Here is a 24,608-nt window from a genome sequence, read left to right as displayed (position 1 = left end):
CCAGCCTGACCAACATGGAGAAACCCCATCTCTCCTAAAAATGCAAAAAATTAGCTGGGTGTGGTGGTGCATGCCTGTAATCCTAGCTACTTGGGAGGCTGAGACAGGAGAATTGCTTGAACCCGGGAGGTGGAGGTTGTGGTGAGCCGAGATCGCCCCATTGCACTCCAGCCTGGGCAACAAGAGCAAAACTCCATCTAAAATATATATATAGTTAGGATAATGGGCGATGCCAAAGGGTGCAGTGCCTGCAAGCCTCCATGCTGAGAACTGGGCTTAGAGACAGATAGTGAAGCTTGACTCCTGTGCTCCTGCAGAACATTTCCCGTCAGTCACAAATCTTATCACATGAAAATCAAGACTGCTTGTTTTTCAGTTTATTAATTTCTTACTCCGCAGTTTGGATCGTTTCTGCCATGGCTCAGTGAGCTACAGTTTTCTTGTTGTCTTCTGCTGCAAAGAAGACATCTTCTTTATCCAGCATACCTGTTCATTTGCTCACTCAATTATTTATTCATTCAAATATTTTTGGAGTATGTGATATATCCAGGTTCTGAAGATATAAAAATGAAAATGAGTTGGTTCCTGCCATCAAAGAAATCATGAGCTGAAAGAGAAAAGAGATGTAGAGAACTCAAAGCAAAGAGTGTGATAAGTGCAGTAATAGAAAGAAAATGGGGACTGTAGAGGTCTAAAAATCTGACTCTTCTAACCCAGTCTCCATAGGAGTAGAGAACACTGGAGTTAGACCTTGAGGTATTAGCTGGATTTTAGCAAATGAGAAAGAAGTTAAGGAGAGAAGGGAAAAGACAAGACATTCTGAACAGAAAAAGAAAATGTTAGCAAGCTGGACAGGCAAAATAGGACTTGCTTGTTCAGTTGATCAGTGGCTCTCAACCCCATTTCCATAGAAATTAAGAGGTTAAGTAGTTAGATATGTGTTATATGTTGGTCAAAACCACTAGGATCTAAAATAAGCATTTATTTGTCTCTCTTTAGTCAAACAAATGGGTTTCTAAAGTGTTGTTCTGGAAGGAAAATTGAATTAACAAATCTGTGGACTAAGTGGAAAATAAAAATGGCTAGGTGAAGAGAGCTTTTGAGGCCTCATTAATATTTCTATATTTGACAAAATTAAGAAATAAGCATGTTATATCAGGAAAGACAATACGTTACCATTTTGAATAGCACATGTTATTAATTTCTACTTAATATCCTTTGCTCCAGAGAAACTTTTCAGAAAAGTCCCCATACCAGATGTTAAGTGATTCCTGTAAATTCCTCTTGCTTTGGGTCAGATATTATATATATCAAGAATCTTTTGTTTCCTAAATCTGGTTCTCTGTGCAAATATTTAATGCCTTTTTGAGTTCATGACTTCAGAGATGCCAACTCTCACCTGGCCAGTGTTGTCTGCTGCCTATTCTCAGCACCTCCTTCCTCATGGAGAGCAGGTCTAAGCCCCAGAACTACTCTTGCTTTGCTTTCTTAACCTTTACTGCAAAATTCTACCTGTTTGGCTATGCCTTACCTTGTTCATTTATTCATTCATTTAAAAAGACATTTATTGAGTATATATTTACTAGGGATTGTATGAAGTACTGGATATAAAATAGTAAACAAGGCGAGACATGGTTTTTTTCCTCTTTTATTCTAATTAGTTCCAATATGAGACAACTGAAGTCAAGTGATTCACCTACTATGTTGGAACAAAATTCTTCAAATTACCAAAAAATTAAATAAATGTAAAATTCAGTGTTCTTGAGTATTCTGTCAGCTCAATGGCAGATTGGGAAAGTTCACTACATTAAAAAATTAAAATCTTCAAGACCAGTTAGTGTACAGAGTAGGAAGAATAAGGTCAGTGTGGAAGGCAGGAGAATACCAAAATCATAAAATTATATAAATTTTGAAAGCATTTTTGTCTGCTCAGACTAAGTAGCTTCATTACTTCCAGGTGTTATTAATTATAATTGTTGATGGATACCTTACTCTTCAAAATGCTTAAAATTATTTTTATTAGGATTTGATTTACAAACACGAAGTCAGTTTAACACACATGGATTTGGAAATACAATAGAATTTTCAAATAAGGAGTTCTGTATATTATTCTAAAATAGATACATAGCAACATTGAAATCTTCCTGGCATCTCTATGTGGAAATTCACATTAAGAATTACCATAGTAACAGAGTCTCTAAATTTTCACAAAATGTATGCACTTAAATGTCTTAAGTATTACAAATGTAATATGATGATTTTTGAAAGAGGCCTGGGTTCAGTTTCTCTTTGTTGAGAGTGGCTCCAAAACAGCTACATAGTGTAGTCTCTGATTCCAAGCATTTTGCCAATTACTTTCTGAATTTAAACCTCTCTCTGATAAGAGATCAAACTTGTTAGTGCTGAAATGTTTTCTCTAAATCTACCTAATCAATTAATTAGTCATCTACCATGCACTAAGTAGAGTAGGCACATTAGGAGATCCAAAAGGAACAAGAAAAAAAAAAAAAGAAACAAGAAACAGTTTCTACATCCAGGAGCTTCAAATTGTGCAGGCTAAAAAAGTGTAAAATGAACCATAAATTATGACATGCAATCTATGAGTGCGATATAAAGAAGGAGAGCCAGTGAAAATTGGATCAGGCAGACCTTGGGCTGGGATTGGAAAGATGGAAGAAATGTTTGAAGATGCTGATTCCCTGTACCTACCAATATCCTTCTTATCAGTACCCTTGTCTTAAATAGAAACGTGCTTTCTTTCTATTCTTTTTATATGCTGTTGCTAAGCCTTGATTTTATTCGTTCATCTCCAGAGGTCTACATTTTAATAATCCTACAAACTCTAGAAAACTGCGAAAAAATAACACAGGCTGTGAATGTTCCCTCTCCCATATATTTTATGAAGCTACACACTTCTACTTGTACCATTGAATGTGGCAAAGGATATAAATCCTTTTCTTTGATAATGGAGAATTCAACAATATTTTGATAGAAATACTAGTTTGACATGTCAGTTTTCTTCTCTCTCAGACTTAGGTTCCATTACATATCATTAAATTTTTTAAGTGCTAAAGATGACTAGCAAGGTTAACAACTTAGCCTTGAATGGGTAGCAAACTAAAATCAGAGCCAATGGTCAATGTGAATGATTTTCTATAGACTGTCCAAGTGAATATGGAATTGTACAGTAGATCATGAAGGATATCTTCTAAAAGGTACTATAGAGAACTTGGAGAATCATGATTAGTTCCACATTCTACGATTAAGAACCCATGTACTACAAAAGAGGGGTATATATATGGCAAAAGTCAAGGGGTTCACTGTATTGAAGGCCACCCTAAGTCATGTGCCTGCTTTAGCTTGCAAAATTAGGCAGTACAGGCCTGCTGTCACAGTCCAGAGTGAAGCATCACATCTGTGCTTTGGAGGATGAGGTCTGGTTCCTCAAAACTTTAGTTATAAATATAAAACTATAAGATTCTATGCTTCCAATGTGAAAAAACTGTTCACACTTAAAGACCAGTCCATCCGTTACTGGTTCATTTTTTTTTTTACATCAAAAAATGTACTACGTCAGCCACTAATATCAGAGATGGACTAGACAGCCCTGTAAATATATAATTAGAATAAAATGTAACAGGTACACTATACAAAACATGAATCAAATGCTTAGGGAAATATAATTCCTTTGTGCATAGGATATAGCAAAAGGTTGACTCAGGAAGTGCCTTTTGACTATGTAGAGTTCTCTGAGTAGACAAGGAAGGAACAATGTAGAGAAATGTTTGAAAGACATGGCTGGATCAGTATTCTTATATGGAAACTGGTATTTTGTTTTCCTTTTTAATAATTATGTGGATGTGGCTAAAACTACTCTTTTATGTTGAGTAATATGAGCCGTATGATGATATAAACACTTCCCAGGAATTTTGCAGGACATGAGCCACTGGAAAATTCCTGGGAAGTCTTTATGTTATCCCAAGTCACCCCACTAGAACAGATCAGAGAAGTTCTGTGGTTCTGGAGAACAGAGAAGACAAACTGTATGCTTCAGAAATTATTGTATACTCTATCAGCTCCAGAGTTACGGAACTGAGTTGAATCACTGGTGTTAGTCCCATATAACATCATTTGTCTTTAAGTTTTAATAAGAAACATAAGTTGCACACGTGGTATGAGGTATTTGTAACAAATTGTAAAAGCATGTTTAGGAAAATAAAACTGTCATCAGCAGTGAAGTATTAACTGTAAGAAACAGTGCATTCATTTTCATTAAGTCAGATAAATATGAAAGGAAATGGTAATAAGAATGGGTTTCCTTTTAACATCTTGCCAACTCCAACTGCTTTTCTTTATTGATATTAATTTACCACTAAATTGAAAATAATTTGCTAAAAATCAAATTTAAATTCACTAAAAGGTTTTCTGTTAAGGTGAGCAAGTCAAATAATTTTGAAATTAAACTTGAGAAAAATAAAATAAAATGCATATACATGGAATAAGCCAAATTGGGAAAAATATGTCGTAAAAGACCTCCCTTCTCCTTTATATGATCTGTTCAAATCTAATGCCACAAAATTTGTTTAATCATTCTTTACCAATTTATGTAGAATAGAAGAGTCAAATAATAAATATAAAATTAAGTTTACATTAAGGCTGGAGGTTACTTTCACTATTTGTTTATACAGAAAACAAAACAAAACAAACAAAAGTTTTCTTAGGAATGTGTCCAGCCACTGTAATGAAGAATTACTTGGGGAAAGATAGCCATGACTAAAATTTTATATTACTGAAATTGTAGCTTTCTTTTTTCTCTGTATTGAGTCATCCATTTTCTTCCATTCATCTGTTCCTATCACATTTTACTGCTTTATTCATTCTGCTATTTTTTTTACTTTTTACTAATCTTTGATTATTTCCCACACGTTTACACCAATCCACATTTATCACTTCCTTCTAAATATCAAGTCTAGGCTCCTGATGAACATTTCTGGCTGACCTGGGTTTAAATCTGCTCTATACTACCTACTAACCAAGAACATGACTCACTCACTCCTCAATTACTCGGTGTCTTCTAAAATAAAATAGAAAATGGGGACAATACAAGGTTGTTTGTAGCATTTAATAACTTGTGTCCTTGCATGGGTGTGTTTACTACCATATGGCCTTCCTTCTGTCTGTTAAAATTTTCCTGATAATTTGATTATTATACAGTCCCTATTTTCTTATATGAGAATAGTCTTTGTACGTTTAATTTTTCTTGGGAAAATTAAAACTCCCTGTAAACTTACTTCATATGTATTCAGTAGGAAATTGGTAATTAACACAAGGAAGGGAATGTATCAAACACATATTCCTATGTTTGTGTTAAATCACTAAGCATCGTCAGTTCAGTGCCTCTTTTCTTTTTTATGAGGTGACAGGAGGCTTCTGACTTGGGTAGCTTGCAGAATCCCTTACATACCAAAAGAAATCCACCATTTTCCTTTTCTTAAGGGAGAAGGAACTCCACTTCCTTTACTGATAAAAGCTCCATTGTAGTCTAGGCCCACAGCCCTTCTCATGTTAGCCCAGGGCTGCTAGGCCTTGTTCTCTGTATTACGTTAGTGTGAGTGTCTGTGTGTGTGTTTGTGTGTGTGCGTGCGTGCGCACGCATGCAAGTGAACATGCATGTGTGCATGTATATACCATGCACACGTGTGTGTGCATGTGCACGATGCAAGTGAACATGCATGTGTGTGTGTATGAGCATGTACACGTGTGTGTGTGTGTGTATAGGGGCAAGAGAAGGTTTCTGTATATCAGTAGTTTTGGGGAGACGTCAGGAGAAGTAAAGCTTTAGGATTATATCAAATTATAAATTAAAAATCCATTATAAATCCAACAAGAGCTACTACTAAAATATCTTTCATTCATTCCCTCCTTTTAGGGAGTTGGGTTCTCTTACCTGGACTATCATATTAGTTTCTTATAGATCTTCCTGCTTTTAATCTTCATATCTGTCCACCCTGTACTTTATTGAGTGGCCACAGTTCTCTTCACAGAACAGTCTTGTTCATTTCCATTTTGGTTTTCAAAGCCTTCAGTGACTCCTATTTGCTGTAAGATAAAACCCACACTTCTTAGCAGATGATTACAAGCAATCCCCAATCTGTGGACAATCAATTTTGACAAATGCATGCTGCGTTATTCTCCCCTGCCTGGCCCCCACCCCACTCATCCAGGGCTGTAGTTCCATATGACTGTCCTCATTGCCGGAATGAACTTTCATGACTCCCTCCCCAGTCTTTCCATCAGCCCAAGAAGCAAGCATTTTTCTCCATGCTCATTTGTTTAAATGTTACTTACCCCACAAGGCCTAGTAAAATGTCCCCTTCTCTCATCTATTCCAGACGAAATTTGTCATTCCCTCATCTGTGGGTTTGTAGCACTCTGCTTTTATCGTTATTATAGCAATGGGATTTTTATCTTGGATTTTACAGACTAGTCCTGATGTCCAGAAATCTGTCTTGTTGTCAGATAGTATTTCAGTAAATTTGGTTATGAATGTATGTTCCTTATGATGACAGCATTTATAGTATGACTGATATGTCTAAAGTATGTATACAACTACTTTTATACCTCTTTCCTTTTATCTTTTTTGAGATGGAGTTTCTCTCTTTCGCCCAGGCTGGAGTGCAGTGGCATGATCTTGGCTCACTGCAACCTCTGCCTCCTGAATTCAAGCGACTCTCCTGCCTCAGCCTCCTGAGTAGCTGGGATTACAGGTGTCTGCCACCACACCCAGCTAGCTTTTTTGTATCTTCATTAGAGACGGAGTTTTGCCATGTTGGTCAGGCTGGTCTCGAATTCCTGACCTCAGGTAATCTGCCCACCTCGGCCTCCCAAAGTGCTGGGATTAAAGGTGTGAGCCACTGCGCCTGGCCAATTTTATCTATCTGGAATAGACAGTGTACAAATAATCATTATTTGATAAAGCAAACACTGTGCACTGGCAGGAGCAAAACTCTGTGTGCGTCCCATGTTATCCCCTGAAGCCAAAGGAATGTTATAGGTAGTGCTTTTTTAGCTTTGCCATCTGTGAATGGCTTAGGTCTTTAGCAGCTCAGTGGACCCTCTGCCTTTTTGCGAGGGCAGAGGATCAGTGTGACAACCTTCTGTATCCTAAGTTCTTGTCCGTTGTCCAGGAAAAATCAGGCCACATGAACAAATTGAAGGATAGTACATGTGGAGGATTTTATTGCCAATGTAAGTGGCTCTCAGCGGGAAGGGGGCCTGGAAAGGGGATGGAGTGGGAAGGTATTCTTCCCCTGAAGTCCAGCCATCTCTAGTAGGACTCTTCTAGGAAGTTCTGCCATCAAGCTGTCCCTCTGAAGTCAAGCTGCTTCTCTCTGACAATCAGCTGCTTCTTTTCCTCCCAACGTTCAACAGCTTCTTCTCTCTGCTGGTCTGGTCCTGGGGGTTTTTATGGCTGCAGGATGGGGAGTGGGACGGGCCATGGGTGGTTTTGGAAAAGGCAACATTCGAGCAAGGAAAACAGGATTGCATGTTCTCACTTTGGGCCACAGTTGCAGGCTTGAGGGTGGGGCCTTCTCTGGGGACCCATCCTCCTCTGCCCAGAATTTCCCTGCCTTCTGTCCCTGTCACTAGACTGTGTGATGCAAGTAAATTACAACTGCTGAAAACACCACCTGGCTCGTAGTAAAACTTGTGTATTAGTACTTGAAGGCAGTTTTCAAATTGCCTTCCTCTGAAGGTTCAGCATCTGCATTTGGCATGATTTTCAGACCCATACTTCTGCCTGTCTTCCTCTAGATTACCTCTCATTCACTAATATTCTGCTAAGAGTTGTATAACCTTAGTCAGTCACAAGTAATTCTTGTCTAATTAACCCAGAGTCTGGTAGGAATGTGGATAGGAAAAAAAAAAAAGGTTGCCTCTACCACTCCACCTATCAAAAGCTGAACTCTAACTCAAATTTAGCACTTCCTTGAACTACAAATGTAGGCAACAATCCATAGGAGGATTTGTGACTGTAACTAATAGAAATAAAACATTTTCATATCACATTATAGTTGTTATAAATATTTGAAATTGTTATAATCTCATCACTATTTTTAAACCAGTTTTTGGTGTATTATATCATTGCTAGATCATATATGAATATATTAAAATATCTAAAATATTTTGAAATGGATTTTTAATATAATTCCCTTTGTAATCCTCTGTATTTTATTTTGTGCTTTTAAAACCATTATTCTAAGGAAACTTAACCACATTGCCAAATGGTATGAAAAAGGATAAGACAACCTGGTCTAGTTGGATTCAGAACATACGTGTAAGAATGTAACATTTATGTTCATAAGTGCAGACTTAGACTCCATTTTCTTAGGTTTAACTATTACATAAATATATGTATATATATTTAATATATTCATAGCTTTGCATAGTGGAAGAGTTTATAAAATGCAACATTTAAGTCTCCGGCCCCTTCCCCAAAGATAGCCATTATGATTATGTTTTGGTTATTTTTCAAGATATTGTCTACATATAACATATATACCAATATAGATTGTGTATACTGTTATACACAATCTATATTATCTTACAAATACTGCTTCTGCTACCATTCTGCATTGACTTTTAAGTAGGAAAGTCACATTCTTGGTTCACATCAGTGTTATGGTCAAAAAACTTTTCAAGTCTTGCCATTTCCATTATCTTTAAGCCACATTTTTAAATTTTCATTAATGCAATGTTTTCAATAAAATATCTTTTGCTGCAGAACTTTTTAATTTGTCACTGCTAATTTTAATCTTGTACATTTTGTTATAATAACCTAATTAAATCATCTAGAATTCCAAATATGCTTCCCAACGTATTATCACTCTCATGTTTGTGTAATTGTCAAATTGTCCTTAAATCATTCAACAAATATGTATTGTCAAGTACTAATATGTATCATTTGTCAAGTACTATTCTAAGTACTGTAAATGTATTTGCTTATTTAATTCTTCTTACAACTTTATGAAATAAATACAATTATACCCATTTTAAAGATGTGGAAACTGAGGCATAGAGCGATTAAATAACTTGCTTAAGTTTTATAACTCATAATTACTTATTTGTGAACCTAGATGAACCCATCAAAGAGTAAATTAAATTATTGTGTGCAACTACAAATTGTGTTTGGCAGTCAAGGAGGATGACTTAAGCTAAGTATTAGGAAGAGTAATTAGAGCCATCTCAAAAATCAATGAGCTCACTATCACTAGTTACCATGAATATTGGAAAGAGATGCCTGCTTTATCAGAGAAACTGGACAGATGACTCTTAAGTCTGTTTTTATGCTAGGATTCTGTGGACTTGATTCAGGTAGCTAATTTTATATCTTTCAGCATTATTACTATATGCTGTGCCTCTAATTCTTACTGTTTTAATGAGTTGTTTTTAAAAAGTATTAATGGGCTATTAACTATAATTGACTATTCACAAAACCAATGGTTTATTCCCATTTTAATCATGGATAGACACTGGGACGTGGTTTTAAGTGAATTTCTCCAGACCAATAACTATAGCATCCATGGCACTCAGAAACTGGGTTTCAGAAATTTTTCAATGGAGGAAAACTCTATTGCAGGAGTCAAACTTACATTGCCCTCCTTGTTGACTCCCATGATTGTCCCATTGTTTTACTTTACTGCAATCGTGCAGCTATGTTGATTTTACATTAGACCCTGTCCTGGGTCTTACTCTCAACCATTGTATCCTAATGAATAGAAAATAAAAGGGAACATCAGTTAAATTAACAGACTTTGTTGTCTTATTCAGAGTGACTTCCTGATTATCATTTAGCCTGCCACATTTTCTCTACCTACCTAGACATGGATGTCAGTGTTTATTGTCAGCATTAAATTGGTCATCTAGCCAATTTTATTATCACTGACACAGCCAGCAATAATCCTAAACAATTTTGTGTGTGTGTGCTGGAGCATATTTAACAAGACTGAGGCTTTTGGCAGGCCTGTGATGCTCTTTTTGCATATCTCTTCCCTGAGTTCTGCAGATCCCAATATCCAACTCCCAGCAGAAGTACAGGAAAAATCTGGCCCACTGAAGCAGAGTGGCGGTGACTGTGGAAAGGATTCATCATATGGCTTTTTAGTTCTCATTAGATCTTTCTTCTGTGTAGAGTAAGAGATATAATAACTCATTTAATTTTTCAAAAGTCTTTTGATTGTTATACAGAATTTCTTACTGTAACAGCCAGTATGATGGTGATGTTGATAACAGTGGAGGAGATGAAGAGAAATCATTCCTAAGTTAACAATGGGCAGAGATTATATACACTGGTTTGGCCATGAATGTCGTTCACAGTCTGGGTTGGTTCTGATTGGTTGGTATGTCGTTCTTACAGTTCAATACCCATTTTACCATTAATACTTTAGATATCATCTTGACTTGCCCAAAGTTTGTTCTGTTAAGGTAACTGAATTATCATTCAGCCCTGTAGCTTTGTGCCTTGGCATTATGCAAAATAACATTAAGACTTGAGAGCCAGAGGAATCATCATAGAAAATGGTATTATCATATGGACTGGTCATGCCATGAAGTCAGTTACCTGTTTCAAATTCTGCTCAGAAAAATAGTCATTTATGGTAACTTTGATGGCTCCAAGATAACAGCTCGAAGTTTCTGAAAGACCTTTTCCCAATCAACTGAACAGTGTAGGATGAATTAGTGTGTGGCTACAACGTTTTACTTCTCTTCTGAGACAATGGGTCTGAGGCTGGCATAGAAAGCAGGCTATAAGTAAAGTAGATAGGGGAAAGTGTACCAAATATTTGGGAAATAGCAGGTAGGCCTATTTTACTGCAGGAGGGTTAATGTAGGATGGTGGCTTTTAAAGTTTTTAACAGCAAATCACCCTTTCTTGAAAAAATGTAATATTAAAAAAAAAAAACCAGATACAAATGAGCTGATCTTACAGAAATCAGGAAACTCAGGATGGCAACCTTTGGGTAAGCAGATGGAAGTTCTTGACGTCAGTGTGAGTTTAGTAGAAAGCTTCTTAATATTTACACTGTGTTTCTCTTTCCTGTTTACCTCTCTGCAATTCGACTCCTGCTTGCCAAACTTACCTGAATTCCTGACTCACAGACTTCCAATTACCACTCTGTTTCTAACTTTCTCTGGGCCTGTCTACTCATTTCTTCTCTACTATTAGTTCTGACTTTTCTTCTTCCTAGCTGCAGCTTCACTCAGTTATAGACATCCATTGTAGTCAAGAAAATCTACCCATTTTGAGAAGAGTGTCATAATAGTAGGAAATAAACTTAGGAGGCATTGGCGAGAAAAGAAAAAACTTTTGCTTTATAATGAGAGTGCTTTATAACAGTGCTTGCAATGAATCAGGCATAGATAATGAAGGAGTTGGACCAAATAAGACTTACACTTTTGGGCCAAATGGGGAAAAGTTGTGCCTTCATAATGGTTTGAGTAACCATTAATATGCATGCAGCCTTCACTGTTAACAAACCATATTCTTAGGAGTTCTCTCATTCACCCTCATAACAACGTCATTAAGAAGATTTTATTTTCTTTGAAAACTAAAGAAAAGAAGAGGAGATCAAGTTTTTGCTTAAGGTCATACTACAAGTTAGTCCAGCCTACTGATTTAACACCAGTCTTGTGACTTTAGATCCTTTCTTCAACTCATGGTAAACATCTGATACTGCACAAAGCTTTAAAGGTATTTTCTGCTGCATTCATACTGGGTCTTGTGATGAGAGCCACATATCTAATATTGAAATTAGTCACATTTAACACAGGGCTAGGAAAGGCATGGTATGCATGTCAAGTTGCTTTTTCTACTCTGGTGAAAGACATCATTAATCAGTCTTTCCTGCTGAGTCTGGATGCTGCCTTGTAGCCTTTTTCTGCATATTACTCCAGGCAACCACTACTAATAAATCAGAGTTTTCTGAAACTTGAAACTGATTTGCCATTCTGACACTAGAGTCTTGAAGTGATGCATGTGCTCTGGTACAAAACTCAGTAAAATGACATGCCTAATTTCTAGTCCCTCAGGATAGCTCTTCCTTGTCCCGCATCTGAGGCTGATTAACTTCTTGAGCATCAGGTCACACTTGTTAAATTTGCCCTAATCATGTGCCTACTAATTGGGCTTATCTCTTGGTTCCTAGCACTAAGGCCCTACTTTTTACTCAGGGTCTAGAAACAGATATTCTATCTTGTTCCACACTCCTGAAGTTCTGTTTATAATCCACTTCCTTCAAGCTAGAGTTTTGCCTTAAGTTCTCCCCCTATATTCCCAGAGACTAGAGTCCAGTTCTTGTTGTCCAGTTTCTATGACTTTTGTCAGTTATTACCGTGAAACAAACCACCTTCAAACTTCACAGGCATGAGCGAATAACAAGTACTAACTATTTGCATAAATTTACAATTTTAGTGTAACTTTTCAGGAATTGCTTTACTCTGTTCCATGTGATACCAACTTTTTTTTTCTGTTTCTTTGGTTTAGTTTGTATGTATATATTTTTCCTGATTACCAGTTAAATACAGAGGTTTTAATTTCTTAGTTTAATAACTAAGGGCTATACACTGAAGTCAATATATATACCTGACATTTCAGCCTAAGTCAGTCAATATACACACCTGAGAACAATGAGACTGTACAGCTTATCATATACTAGAGGGCCTTTTAAAAAATAACAACAAAGCAGTGTCTACAGATTTTAAGCTTCATCTTGTACACTGACAATCCACTTTCAAGATAAGTCATTCAGGTGGTTGACAGTTCAGTGCCGCCTTTGTCTAGGAGCTAATCCAGGGCTATGTATGGGCTGGGGCTTCAGTTCCTCTGTACATGGGCCTCTCCAAGGCATCTTAGGCTTTCTCACAGCATGATGGATAGATTCCAAAAACAAGTGCTCCAAGAGTGCATCCATTCTTTTGACTAATCTCAGAGCCACTTCTGCCATACTCTTGTGATCAAAGCAGTCACAAAGGCCAACCCAGGTTCAGAGATAGTACCATAGATTTTACCTTTTGAAGGAGGAGTTACAAAGTCCTAAAAGAGCTACATATCTGGAGATACGTTATGGTAATCTTCGGAAAAACCTTTTGATATATTGACCTATAAAACCTTTTAATATATTGACCTCCTTCCTGCTGCTGGATTTCTAGGAACCATCTGCCTAGATGTCCATTTAGTGGCCCACTGTCATAGTTTGTAATGTTGCTTCCATAATATATCCTTTTATTTATAATTCCCCCTACTGCTAACATTTGACACACTCCAGGAAGGTCCTATCATCAAGAAATCCTGAAAAATAAGGTGAGTGGGAGAAAGAAAGCATGTTTTATAGAGCCAAATGGACCTGATTTCAAATCCTGGCTTAATAACTGAACTCTGAGAAATTTACCTCTCTCAGTCCCAATTTACTTTTCTATCAAGTGAGTACAATACAATTCCAACTCATTGATATGAGAATTAAGCATGTTAATATAGTAACAGGTTTATTTAATAGTCCAAAAGCTGCTGGGTATTAACATAAAAAAGTATATTTTTTATTCAGTTGTCACTTTGAACTGTGTTCTGTTTCAGCCTGTTCCTTTTCTATACCCAGTGCCATCTCTGGATTTTAATTTTTTCAGTATGTATTAGTCAGGGTTCTCTGGAGGGACAGAACTAATAGGATAGATAAATATATAAAGGGGAGTTTATTAAGTATTCATTCACATAACCTCAAGGTCCTAAGAAAGGCCGTCTGCAACCTGAGGAGGAAGAAGAGCCAGTCGGAGTCCCAAAACTGAAGAACTTGGAGTCTGACGTTTGAGGGCAGGAAGCATCCAGCACAGGAGAAAGATGTAGGCTGGGAGGCTAGGCCAGTCTAGTCTTTTCACATTTTTCTGCCTGTTTTATATTCTAGCCATGCTGGCAGCTGCTTAGATGGTGTCCGCCCAGATTAAAGGCAGATCTGCCTTTCCCAGCCCATTGACTCAAATGTTAATCTCCTTTGGCAACACCCTCACAGACATCCCCAGGATCAATACTTTGCATCCTTCAATCCATTCAAGCTGATACTCTGTATTGACCATCATACATTGCTTGCATTTCTGGTTACTTAAAGTTATTAAAAATTTATGACAGTTAAAACTTCCATATTGTGATCAGTTTAGCATGTCCTCTTCCTCGTAGTGCAGGCCAGGTTTATGTCTTGAGAAACTTGAAGTATGCAGAGGGTATAGTTTGCTTTTTATTCGGCCTCCATTCATCACCTGTAGGTAGAGTTAGAGGAATGTTAACTTTGGTTGAGTATGCTTTGGTGTGAGATTCTTCTCTTTTCCCCTTTTCTGGGATTTCTTGGCTTCCATGGGACTGGAGGGCATAAGGACCTTGGGAGATAAGAAAATAAAGAGTTCGGCCACCTATGAGTCATTTAGAAGTATCTCTGGGCTTGCTCTGACCAGGCTGGTTTTGTCTGCTGCTTCAGGTCTCTGTTGATGGTAGGTTTGATTTTAGAAGAGACAGTATCCAGGTTCACCTTGACTCCTTCTGTCAGTGAAGACCCCTTAGAGAGGCACAGCATTGTCTCCCACTCTCCAACAGTCTATGCACATCTCTGGAGTGATTATTACCTTGACGGGCCTTTGACCACCTGGATAATTCTAAACTACTGCTCTTTCCCGTATCCTCTATACTTCATGTGGAACCAGAAGAAGCACTGAGGGCATCGTGGAACAGGAATGGGAACGTCCTCCCATCTTTTGCTGCCCAAGCACCTTATCCCACACATGGTTTCTTTACTCTGTGGTATGGGCTGCCAGAGCAAGTATACCCAGTTTAGTAATTTATTGTTATGAAGCCAGCACCAGGCCTATTGTTCTCTAACTCCAGGCTTTGCCCAAGTACTTTTTCACAACGTTCTGTTTTGATGGCAGCATTGAGGTAGGACTGTTGCAGCTACAGCTGGAGGCATCTAGTTCCAAGGCTGAGGTTATCACTTGCTCATTTTTGCAAATTTCCGTGATCTGTATGAATAAATTCCTAAGGGCCTTCTCTATTACTTGCCTTTGTTGGGGTGAGCATCCCACCAGGAGGAACATTATTGCTACTTCCCTTGCTCATTTGTTTTTATAATCTTTCAGCCCAGCTTTTGTTTAGTCCTTTATTTCCTACTCCTTCTGTTGGAAACTCCCAGGAAACAAAGCAGCACAGTTTCAGCAGGCTTTCACAGAAGCAACAACATTCTATCAGAGTCTAACAAGAATTAAATATAACCGGAGGACCCTCCAAGATATGCCCCTAGTCAGTGCACCCTGTGTGATGCTCACTTTGTTCGCAAGGGCTATGTAGCCAGCATGATGTTTTAGGAACTTATTTATTTTTCCCAACAATGGATGTAAAGGATTTCCTGCTCCTATTTAAGTTAGATACTAACAACTTCCTTAGAGATGCTGGGCATGTTAAAATTCTAGCTGTGAAAGCAGCAGTGAAGGAAGCTGTGCATTGTTAATCCTTCCTGTGACAGAAACATCAAAAAGCAAGCCTTGAAGGCTCATTTATGAGGATGGTGTTTCCTCCACCCTTTACCAAGTGTGTGTGTGGGTATGGGGTGCCCCTCCTGGCAAGCCTGTAAAGCTGCGGGAACTGTGACTGCTGCTATTTTCGAAGCAAATTGATTATTGGCCTTCACTGAATATTCACAGCTCTATTAGCCAAAACCCCCACTGTTTCTAAGGGAGTAAAAACTGGGTAGACTTCTAACTTTCTGTGCCCACTCTGTGCCTTAACAATGGCCCCAGGACTGCTACTTTAAACTGAATTTAGAATGAGAGATCCATTATATTTTCCTGTTTATATTTGTGAATTATGTTTGCCAGTTTTTTTGCAAATTGTTTTTAAAGTGGCCTGCCCTCAATTTTAAAATCTTTGTGCTCTGGACATATATAATGAACTTCATTCCAGGTAGAACTGAAACCAGCTTCCTATCCTTCTGACCTTGACTGATGCTTGACATACGTCAATGTATGGGATTACATGACATGTTGCTTTTTAAAGCTGTTATACTGCTTGCATCTTTTTCATCATTTTAGTGGAGATTTAGAATGTTGTATTCCGTTAGCCTAAGGTTTCTAAGGCCATTTTTGTCATCTTTTTTCTGTTGAAAATTCTCTAAAGGGTCTCTAATAGCTTGCTCAGTGGGTGACACACGTGGTCTTCTATAGTCTTGCTCCTAGGCCTATTTTTTTTTTTTTTCATCTTTTCTCCAGCACGTGCCCTTTCCTTAGGAAACTCTCATTCCAGTACCATATAATGCTCAGGAAAAAACTCATTTTGGTAATATATTACTTACTGGTTTCACTGTTTTTAAATGTTTCATGAGATTTAGTCTTACCTGTTCTTAGACATCCTGGTTAAAATGAGTGATAAATTAACATCAACATGGTCCCTGTACATATCCCTGTAGATGAATAATCTAAAAATGTCCAGGAAATTAGAATTAATTTATTCAAAGCAGAATACGACCATTTGATTCAGAGGGTGGGGGATTTTGGTGAGGAGGAGTGGTAGGTGTGGGTGGGCAGGTTATATATGTATGCTCCTCCCCTTCACTGATAAAAGGAGAGTTTACCAAGAGTAGAAGAGACAATAAATGGGATATGTGGTTTCTATAGCCCAGGAAGCTGCTATGGAAACTTCATAAACTCACAAGGAAACTGTGAATTTGGACACTGACTTAATGGTCAGCACCAAGGCAAGTAGTTTCTCATGACGTGCTCTGCCACAGGACCTGCTTGGCCTGTGATTAGGTAATAGTGATACAAAGTTAGAGAACATGTCTTCCTCATTAGGCCCTTGCAGTCTAGTGAAAAACACAAAACACCACAATATAATAGCTGTTTGAGTGGTGAACTCTGGTAGACACTCCAGGATTCAGAATAAGTAGACATGATCTCAAGGAAACTCCTACCAACTAGGAGGGAAAAGAAATTCATACAAATAAATATAACACAATTTAAGATTTGGCATGTGGAATAGTGGTAGAATATGCCAATATGCCATATCAGATGTTATACAATGAAACTTTTTTTATAAATGCTTGTGGATGCATAGAGGAAGAGATATAGCTGCCAACTTGGGAGGGGAGGGGAAGAAGGATGATGGGTGGAGATTAGAGAAAGCTTCACAAAAATAGTGAGATTTGAGCCAGACTCCAAGACTGAAAAGAATTGGATGAAAGGGTATAACAGGAAGAGGATCAACAAGAGCAAGAGCGAGGAGGTTGACAAGTATATCCCCTGCTTTCAATGGTGGTGAGTGTGCTGTGATGATAGCCTGATTATGGAAGGGAAGCTCTGATGGATAAGACTGAGAACAGGCTGCTGAGGACCTTTAATTAGTCATGCTGAAGGATTTGGGGCTTCTCAAAGAATGATGAGAGCAGTCTAAAGATGGATCTATCATCTGAAAACCTTCCTCAGGTAGAAAAAAAACAACAAAACTATGTATTTATGTGCTTAGCAACTGTTTTAGCTTTCTTATTGTGAATGGTTAAAGATTTAATGTGATTGGTTTTGAAGAAAACAAACAAAACACTCCAGAATTAGTAAGAGTGTTTTTCAGGTTTAAAGTTTTTTTTTTAGTTTGTTAATAGTTTACACCCTGTGAATAATGTGAGAGCTCTATCTTTTTACACTGCCATTCAAAGTGCAAATTAGAAAGTTTATCTCCTTAAGGTTTGAGCTTGAAAACTGATAATTACAGATTCCCAGGAGAAACAGTTAACTTCCTGTAAAATGATAAAAGAATGAGTTGAGGCCAGGCACAGTGGCTCATGCCTGTAATCCCAGCACTTTGGGAGGCTGAGGCAGGTGGATCACCTGAGGTCAGGAGTTCGAGACCAACCTGGCCAAGATGGTGAAACCTTGTCTCTAATAAAAATACAAAAATTAGCTGAATGTGGTTGCGGGCATCTGTAATTCCCAGCTGCCAGGGAAGCTGAGGCAGGAGAATTGCTTGAACCCAGGAGGTAGAGGTTGCAGTGAGCCTAGATTGTACCATTGCACTCCAGCCTGGGTGACAAGAGCAAGACTTCATCTCAAAAACAAACAAATAAAAAGAATGAGTTGATGCCTCTAGAAGGAAAAGTTAATATGGTAGGTTAATTAAATTCCCTTTTCTCCAAAGAAAGAATTTTTCTTGAGCCATCAGCTACTGTCTAGGACCCGTACTTTAGAAATGTCTGATTTAGAGCAGGTCACCTGTGCTTTTAGACTAGCACCTAATACTCTGAGCACTGACTCAGACCCAACTAATGAACTGCATGTATGATGGACAGAATGAGAAGGTATAGCTGCATTAACCAGGTCTTAGTTCTGATCTGAAGAGAGGTGTGAGTTCTATCATTAAATTTTAAAAACATTAGGATTAACTCCTAAAAAGTATTTTTTCTGTGATCTAAAGTATCATTCGTCTCAGACTGGGCTATAGGCACCTAACCCTCTTTCTCCATTTTACTGTTGTTTTCTGATCCTTATATGAGAAGAATGACTAGAAAAGTGAAACCTGTTAAAAGAGAAATATAACTAGTTATCTAGATAAAGAGATCAACAGTCAACTTGTGAGTATGTTACATAAAATGGCAAACCAAAAAAACAGAAATCCAAAGGTCAAAGTGTATTCATTTCCTTACTCATTATGTCTGGCATAAGGCTTTTTCATCTTCCCCAAAATACATTGCCCTCCTCTTGGAGAACTCCTCTTCCTCCTTTTCAATTGTTCCATCTCAGTGGGGGCAATCAGTCATAGGGCCAACTACTTGGCCATCATTGATGATTCTATAATGGGCTCCTAACCCAAGCCTGACCAATCTGAGTGCTTCCTTGAGACTTTTCAAGCTGTATTTGAGAAGAAAAGAGAAGCAGATCTCTGCTATTGAAACTTTGAAAAGTGGGTCGTGGGCTCAGCTAGTGGTCATCGTTTTGCCATGTGGACAAAGCTGTACTAGCAGAAGGAAGCCACCATGCAGAGAGAAGCTTAGATGAGGAATGGAAAGGAAAGGTCCTGAAAGCATTCAAATATCTGTGTCTTTGTTCCTGACATGTTACATCTCTATACCTGCCAAGATTATGTGAAATGGTTCAGTATCCAACCAATCTATTTTTATTTCTGCATAACTTAGTTAAGATAGCTTTCTGTTACTTGCAACCAAATCATTCTTTGCTAATACAAAAGAATGGGTATACCTATCCCCCTTTTTTTTTTATCTTAAGTCAAATCCTTACATAGCTCAGGAATGACTGAACTACGTATTAAAGTTTTCTCTTTTTTCTGAGCACCTCCTACTGATGATAACTTTCCATTTCTTTGATGCATATGGGTTCTTCAGTGTTTTGGCAAAACTTATGGACCTGTTAAATTCTCAAACTTGTAAAATTTCCATATTGCCATGCTAGGTAAAATATGATTACCTTATTTACTTTACTACATCCACAGATGGATTTCTAAAGAATGTCGCCTGTGAGTATAGTAAATTAATAAGCTGTGGGACCTACTAGCTGAACATACTACATTAGGGAATTGGAAAAAAAATTCTTAAATGCTTCATTGGGTACTCTTCGTTAGTTCCTATGTCTTGCTCTCTTTTATTAATTCTATTACTGATTTACAATAAGTTATTAACATCTTGCATTTAAAATCAGATCAAGGGGTAGTATTTATTTTTTCTGAGTAAAGCAGATATCTAGTTCATTTTACAAGGTTTTGATTGTGTCTGAGTTCCTTATTAAATCACCTCTCTTTCTTTTCATTTGTTCTTAGCAGTTGCCAGGCAACTCCTATGATACTTGGCAAAAATATTCTGAGAGGATTTTTTAAGAATAAAATTAGTAGAGACACAGACCCTTTGTAAAGATGGTTATTATAGTTGTTCAGATGTAAAATTAGCCACTATGAATGAGGAGTATTATTTAATATTATACTAAATGGGAATTTCTGTCCAATTGTAAGCTGGGTCTCCCACCTACAATTTGCCTAAATTGCAAAGAATATCTTGATTCCTGATTTAAAAAGAAAATGAGGTTGATAAAAAATAGCAATTACTCTTTTATTGAGTTTAAAAAGGTGAGTGATGATAAATGAATTTGCCCAAGCATTTTTCTCGCTGATTCAGGCTGCTGCCCCTGGCAAAATTGCTCAGAGAAAAGCAATCTTTTCATTTAAGATTTCTTATTTCTGTGGTTTAAATGTGTCCCCCAAAGTTCATGTGTTGGTAACTTAATCTCCAATGCCACAGTGTTAAGAGGTGGGACTTTAAAAAGGTGATTAGATCATGAGGGCTTCACCCTTATGAATAGATTAACATGGTTATCTTGGGAGTGGGTTAGTTATGGTAGATGCGGATTCCTCATAAAAGGCTGAGATCCCTTTCCTCAGTCTCTTGAGTGCCCTTTCACCACATGATGCCTTCCACCATGTTATGCTGTAGCAAGGAGGCTCCCACTGGATGGGGCTCCTTGATCTTAGACTTTCTAACCTCCAAAACCATGAGCTAATTAAACTTCTATTGTTTATAATCACCCAGCCCGTGGTATTCCGTTCTAGCAGCACAAAATGGATTAAGATACCTGTTAAGAAAGAATTGGCAAGACTAAGGTGGGGATTTAATCCACTCAGCCTTCTTCTAGAGGCAATCCCATGTAAGAAGCATTTTAATAACATGCGATTAATCACTTAGAAACAAGTCTTATAGAAGAGTGCTGGGAATATTAATGAGAAGTCCAAATGAAATAAACTATGTGAAAGTATTTTTTACACGGTACTCTTGGTTTCGATTTTTGTTGTATTGGTACTAGTGCTGGTGGTAATTGTTATTTTAAGAAGAAATAGTAAAAGATCTTTCTGAGAATGACTTCTATTTTCTACATTTCATTTTAGAGGTGAGTGTTAGCCTTGGTGAGTGCAAACATGTATGCAGATTGAGGGAGACAAATCAGCTTTTTGAGTTAATGGATGTCTTCAATCAGAAGCCAGAAAGATTTAGGAAAATAGTGCTCTTATATTAATAATGGCAACCCCACAATCTGTGCTCTAAATCCCATCTCCTTTGCCTTTCTTTTGAATTATGCTTAATTGCTGTCACTTCTCTACATATTAAAATTCTCCCTCTCAGCCAGATCTCTTACTTGAGTGTATCAAACTGTCCAAATCTATTATATTAAGAAATAAGAAAATATATGAGCAATTATTTCTCATTTGCTCCTTCTCAGGAATTTCGCTCACCTATCACTTACAACTGAATTTCTTGGTTGGGTTGTGAGGTGCGTCTTCACTTATTTCTCAACCTATTATTATTTGGTTTATCTACATCTCAGAAAGGGCTTTCCCTAGGGAATAAATTTGCTAGTTCAGTTGAGACAGCCTCTCTATAGAATTTGAAACTATTGAGAATTAGGAATCAAAATTCCTCTTTAGTTTTCAATTTTATTATTTGATCCTGCTCTCTCTCTAGCTTTTTAGAATTGTTTTAGGGACACTTTCTAACCAAGTTATTGTTTAAATATTAGCACTATTCAGGAATCTTATCTAGGCCCCCTTACCATCTCACTTTATGGATTCTTCCTGAGTGATTTTGTCACTCTTGAGTTTCTACAACCACTAATTTGCTCTTGACCCAAAATGATGTGTGTGTCTGTTTGTGTGTGTGTGAGAGAGAGAGGGAGAGAGTAGCTGGAATTACAGGTGCCTGCCACCATGCCCGGCTAATTTTGTTGTATTTTTAGTAGAGACAGGGTTTCACTGTGTTGGCCAGGCTGGTCTCGAACTCCTGACCTCGTGATCCGTCTGCCTCGGCCTCCCAAAGTGCTGGGATTACAGGCGTGAGCCACCACGCCCAGCCATCCTAGCATTTTTAAAAGATCACCCAGGCAGTGCTAGGGAGAATAGATTTGAGATAATAATGGTTTTAGGGAAACTTGCCAAGGGCTATGACAGTAGTCTGGAAAAAGACGGTGTTACCTTGGCAAGAGACATGGCATCAGAAGTCTTATTTTTTTTATTCGTTTGTTTGAGATGGAGTCTCGCTCTGTCGCCCGGCTGGAGTGCAGTGGCACTCTCTTGGCTCACTGCAATCTCCGCCTCCCGGGTTCAAGTGATTCTCCTGCCTCAGCCTCCCAAGTGGCTGGGACTACAGGCGTGCACCACCACACCCAGCTAATTTTTGTATTTTTAGTAGAGACAGGGTTTTGCCATGTTGGCCAGGATGGTCTCAATGTCTTGACTTCATGATTTGCCTGCCTTGGCCTCCCAAAGTTCTGAGATTACAGGCATGAGCCAAAGCACCAGGCCTGCAGTTCTATTTTTAAGACTTATTACATGTGTGATTTGAGTCTGGTCATATATAAGCTCATGTGCCATATAGGCTTGTGAAGAGTGCTTTTAAGCTGAATTATCTCTATAAAAATTCTAGGCTTGTTATCAGTAAGTATTGTATATATATGCTTCCTGGCCTCTAAATCTGTCTTCTGCTTCTTTTTACATCTTCATTTAATATCAGGCTGCCCATGGTAACTTTGCTGCAATCAGACTGACCTTTCAGGTTCTTGTACATAATGCAGTTTTTCTGCTTCTAGACCATTTTGTTCTCCTTAAAGGAAACTATCTCACTAACCCTTTGCATGGCTAGATCCTTTTTATTTTTTATGTTTCAACTCACAGACCCTCTTTGATTACCTAATCTAAAGTAGACTGTTTCAATTATTATACTTGTACCTTACCTTCATTCTGATTTGTTTATTTATAGCATTTATTACAAAATATAATTACCTTGTTTGTCTGTTTATTCGCTGTCCTCAGAATCACTGTGAGGGAGAGGCCTTTTCTGCCTTGTTCAATGTGTGTCTCCTGTGCTTGCCAACATAGTAGATGTTCGTGTTCATTAAATATGCATTAAATAATGGAAGGAAGGAAGGGTACATTGAGGTTTGTACAGTAGTTCTCTCGTTATTTGCAGTTTTGCTTTCCTCAGTTTCAATTCCCCATGGTCAACTGCAGTCTGAAAATAGGTGAGTACAGTACAATAAGCTATGGAGAGAGAAACCACATTCACATAAATTTACTACAGTATATTGTTATAATTTTTCTATTTTATTAGTTAATCTCTTACCATGCCAAATTTATGAATTAAACGTTAAGTACATATGCGTAGAGAAAACCATATCATGTATAGGGTTGGTACTGAGTTTCAGGCATCCACTGAGGGTCTTAGAACCATATACCTTGCAGCTAATTGGGGGGGGCTGGGCTACTGTATCCCATTTTCTTCTCACTTGACATCAATGTTCTCTGCAGCATATGAAGAAATACCTCAAAATCTGGAGTGCTCTTTAGACAATCTACGTGATGATACCCACTCTAGATTTTTTTTTTTTTTTTTACTGCAGTAGGCTATAGAATTCCAAAGCCTGCCTCAGTATAGTTACTTATGACTCTGTTTATACTACTTTATATTGGTATATGTCTAATTCTTAGAACCGTTGGAAATATCATTCATAAACTTCAGTTATAGTGGAATTGGAAGGAGTGCTTGCTTAGCATAGGAGCCAGGGTTTTCAGTGACACACAGGTGCTGCAGATCCTTTCTTCCTAGGCCAGACTGTCTCCTTATCATGTCACTTAGGATTGCTTTTTGCCTCCAAATGTAACAGAGTTGGGATCTCAGCTATTAAGACCATGTCTCTCTTGCTTTTATCTCAACCAAATAAATCACAGTTACTTTGCTCCTGATTTTTGAACTCATCGTGAGAAGAAGCCTTTCTCTGAGAAAAACAATCCTCCACTATGGAACTTACTGCTTCAATTAGTATATTAGATTCTCTCTTAGGATATTTTATAAAAGAAAGATACAAATATTTGCTTTCTCTTGGTGCATGTAGCTAGGACATTTAGTGGCAACTAAGGCTTGCTATTGGGTATACAACTGGACCATTAAGCATAGGAATTTGCATAGACATTGTTCCCTACTTTTGAAAACCTGAATTTCTCAGGCGAATGGGGCATAGCTTAAACATTATCTACCCAGAACAGTAGCAAATAATTGCGCATCATGAAAGAGAGATTTTTAAATAAATATATTTACATTTCATTTTTAAAAAATTTAGATACATTTATTAATAGAAGAAAGGCAATATCTATGAAATTCTCAATGAAAATATTTACTTGTTGGAAGTCCTTATTTGAAAGTAAGTACTACCAGATATTCTTGCACTAAAAATAATATTTATTTATTTAAATTTGACAGGTAGCCCTTCTCCTCTCTTTAGTTCCTGCTTCCATTTTACTTTTCTAGCAAAGATGTATTTATGTAAGTGTTTAAAATTCTAAATATACGCTAATTGATGGTAGGAAGAGTGAGAGTGATGCAAAAAAAAAAATTGCCACAAGAATGAAGCCAAAGGTTAAAACTCTGCTGCAGTGACTTCAGAAAGAATTGATTTTATATTAAATGTAGAAAACTGTACAGAAAATAGAGTTTACTTATTCAATGAATACATATTGCATGCCTACTATGCACCCATTGTGT

General features: G+C 37.6%; 1 protein-coding gene across 12 annotated transcripts in view, besides 1 other annotated feature; it reads left to right on the top strand.

Annotated features, from left to right (window-relative positions):
• The window catches only part of LINGO2 (leucine rich repeat and Ig domain containing 2), a 1,275,985-nt gene that overhangs the window by 377,070 nt on the left and 874,307 nt on the right, over window positions 1-24,608 (top strand). The gene's annotated exons all lie outside the window — the stretch shown is intronic.
• Window positions 15,251-15,822: an enhancer, noted in NCBI's record as "OCT4-NANOG hESC enhancer chr9:28820708-28821279 (GRCh37/hg19 assembly coordinates)". NCBI's record gives its function as "activates a minimal SCP1, AML or CMV promoter by ChIP-STARR-seq in primed H9 embryonic stem cells {active_cell/tissue: H9 hESC(primed)}" and the evidence as "EXISTENCE:reporter gene assay evidence [ECO:0000049][PMID:30033119]".

Source organism: Homo sapiens, chromosome 9 (genome assembly GCF_000001405.40).
Source record: "Homo sapiens chromosome 9, GRCh38.p14 Primary Assembly".
Classification (NCBI taxonomy): Eukaryota; Metazoa; Chordata; class Mammalia; order Primates; family Hominidae; genus Homo; species Homo sapiens.
The sequence above is the reverse complement of the archived record's forward strand: the minus strand, read 5'-3'. Positions and strand labels throughout refer to the sequence as shown.